General features: G+C 39.2%; 2 annotated features.

The window, feature by feature from the left end:
- Positions 815-984: an enhancer, noted in NCBI's record as "experimental_81828 CRE fragment used in MPRA reporter constructs". NCBI's record gives its function as "activates a minimal promoter by MPRAs in K562 erythroleukemia cells, with activity observed for the introgressed 5:145789259 variant allele {active_cell/tissue: K562}" and the evidence as "EXISTENCE:reporter gene assay evidence [ECO:0000049][PMID:34662402]".
- Positions 2,495-2,789: a silencer, noted in NCBI's record as "tiled region #15640; HepG2 Repressive non-DNase unmatched - State 22:ReprW". NCBI's record gives its function as "represses a minimal TATA promoter and a strong SV40 promoter by Sharpr-MPRA in HepG2 cells {active_cell/tissue: HepG2}" and the evidence as "EXISTENCE:reporter gene assay evidence [ECO:0000049][PMID:27701403]".

Below are 3,077 nucleotides of genomic sequence, written 5' to 3'. Positions count from 1 at the left end.
TCTTGGAGTTCAAGGACTCCATGGCATACACACTCCTGGTTTGTGAAGCAGAGCCTTAAACTACTGTCAGTGGCTACCACTGTGGAGTTTCCTTAACCCTCAGCTGAGAGCAAGGCCCAGCAGAAAATGGGGAAGAGAATAAAGGCCTCAAGAAGTTGCAATAATGATGAGAGGGGAGGAACTAGAAGTGACAAGGCGCCTGGGTTACCTGCTTCCCAGTTTGGTAGAGGACCTGTCCTGTTGGTCTTTTATTTTACTCAACTTTCTTAGTCATTTCAAAGTCTACCTTTGACTGTTTTAAAGGGAGGTAAACTGTCTGTCATTAGAAATGTGCAAGCAGACTAGACAGCTGCTTGCTTTGACGGCTATGGGTCGGGAACAGGGACAGTGGGCTTCAATCAATGAAAAGAGGAAACTTTCAAATTTGATGCCCTATAGTCCTGAAATTTTGTTACTCTTCTGAAGCATGAGTTTCAGGAAAAATGTACTCAATTCAATAAATATTTATTCAGCACTTTTATAAGTGCCAGATGCCTGGCAGTGGTGGAGAGGACAGTCTTCCCAAAACTCATAGTTTGCTGGGGAGAGACATAAACAAGCAGGTAGTTCGAGTACAGCTTACAGGCTCTCACAGAAGTACAGAAGTTATGGAAGCTCAGTGGAGGGGCACCAGGCTTGGATCTTGGTAGCCTTCTAGGAAGAGGTGATATTTAAATCAAGATTTGAAAAATGAGTAGGAGTTTACTCAGGTCCTCCTGAAAACCACTGTAGCTAGCTTCAGGATTAATTTCAGCTGGTTTCACCAGAGCCCTTCTCTGCCCTGCTACACGTTGTTCATTCATTCTACTTGTCAATTCAGGATATTTAGGGACAAAAGGCTGACTTTTAATTATCAATTATAGTCTTTGAAGATGCAGAGAGGACAAGTGGCCCATCCCCATTGTACAAAACTACACAACCTACGGGGACCAGACTCCAGGTTTTTGGCATTAAAGTTACCAGGCAGATCCTAAACTCACTTAAGACATTCACAGCTGTTTAACCAAAGGGACGACAGGAGGGTGATTCATGGTGCGTTTGCCTCCCGGGCTGTGAACACAAAGGAAAGAAAATGTTGTTAAGGGAAGAAGCAGGCTCCTCCTTGCAGTAGTATGTTTTTTGGTCGTCATGCGGTAGACAGCGGGGCCAATAATACAGCCTGCAAAATTTCCAGCTGAAAAAAAACAAACCCTTTGAAGTGGCTAATGAATACACTCTTTTTAACTTACTCCGATCTCATTGCTGAGAGCTGTGCAGTTGCTCCTGGGCAGAAGTTTCACTAATGTAGGGATGTTGACTGGCCACTGCATCAAATATTTATCAAGTCACAGATGGGAATCTACAAAGAGTTTGCAGAGAGGTTTCGTGTCTCCCTTCGGTTCTAGGGGAAGCACGTCAGCACTGCAAAATGCAAGTCCACAAATACACACTTTTAAGCTTATGCATAGGGTTGCTGACCCATTTTAATCAGGTTAAATGGGGCCAATTTAAAGGGAATCTCTTTTTTTCTTAAAGTAAAAGTAGCATGTTTTCATTGCAGACATAAAAAAAGCCTTACACAAAAAGAGGGAAATGGAACTCACTTATAATTTTACCACCCAGACCTATTGTGTATTATGCCTTTTTTATTTTATTTTTTATTTTTTGCTGTTTATAAAAGACTCACTTTTTTAACCTTTTATTTTAAGTTCAGGGGTACAAGTGAAGGTTTATTACATAGGTAAACTTGTGTCATAGAGGTTTGTTGTACAGATTATTCCATCACCCAGGTAATAAACCTAGTATCCATTAGTTATTTTTCCTTATCATCTCCCTCCTCCCATCCTCCATCCAACATCTTTTAAATAAAAATTAAATCATACTGTATCCAATATTCTGTATGTATTTTATTCTTTTGCTTTTTTATACTTGTCTCATTTAACAATACGTTCTTACCATTTTGCATAATATTGAGTATTTTTCTACAATATATTTTCATATATTTACACAGTATTCCAGTGTATCAATGTGCTATGATTTACCTGGCCAACCCCTTGCCATTCGATATTTGTGTCTAGCTTTTCTATGCAGTAAATGATTATTTTAATGGAGATCCTTATAACCAAATAATTATTTGTGCCCAACTATGATATTTTCTCTGACAAATTAGTGAAAAAGGAATTGCTAGGTCAAAGAGTTAGCCTGATATACCAGTTTACATTTCCATCATCAGAGAATAAGAGGAGTGGGGCTGGCATTCTTAATGGGCTGTCAGTTTGCTCATCTCAGCTAAGATGGTCCAAGGTCACTGAGAGATAGATATTGGTCTAGGAGTTTGGGGGTTGGTTGGTTTATATGCTTATTTGTTTTTGTAACAGCCTCCTTGAAACTTGAACGTTTTTCCTCTTTAATTTAACAGCTATCTTATTTCTCTGGTCTCCCATCTTTATTTAGTTACACTGGAGAGAAAAGAAAGATCTCTTCAATGGCAAACAGCAGTGCCTGAGTTCAATAAGGATTTATGGCTTGCTGTTTTGCATTGCTAGTAACCACAGTTATAAGGCTGGGCCTATCAATATCTTTTTCCTCTAGCAATAGAAGGCAAGCTGTTTCCTGCAATTGAAGTCTCCTAGAACAGAAGTTCACTGATAGAAAAAAATAGGGAGGAGGGGGGTTTGGTAGGATAAGGTCACTAGCTATTTGTTTTTCCAAGTAAAGCTATTGGAACAATCACAATCAGCAATGGCCATCTATTATCATAAACCAATTACTAAAGAATGGGCATTATAACACACTTGCACTCATACAAAAATAAATGAATAATAAGAGAGTTTCAGAATAAAATACCTTCTTACCTAAGAAAGAATAGTTGGCCTTCTTACACTGACATATACACGGTCCTTATTTTTTCTTCTCACAAATGATTTGAAAATATCACTTTGGATTGGCATCAGTCTCTGGGCCTTGGCCTGAAAAGCACCATCTTAGAGGATTGTGACCATGTCTTTTATTTGGAGCAGGGCCTAAACCAGTCCTTTTTCCTCCCTAGACAGGAAAGG

This window comes from Homo sapiens, chromosome 5 (assembly GCF_000001405.40).
Source record: "Homo sapiens chromosome 5, GRCh38.p14 Primary Assembly".
NCBI lineage: Eukaryota > Metazoa > Chordata > Mammalia > Primates > Hominidae > Homo > Homo sapiens.
This window is presented reverse-complemented; position numbering and strand designations above follow the sequence as displayed.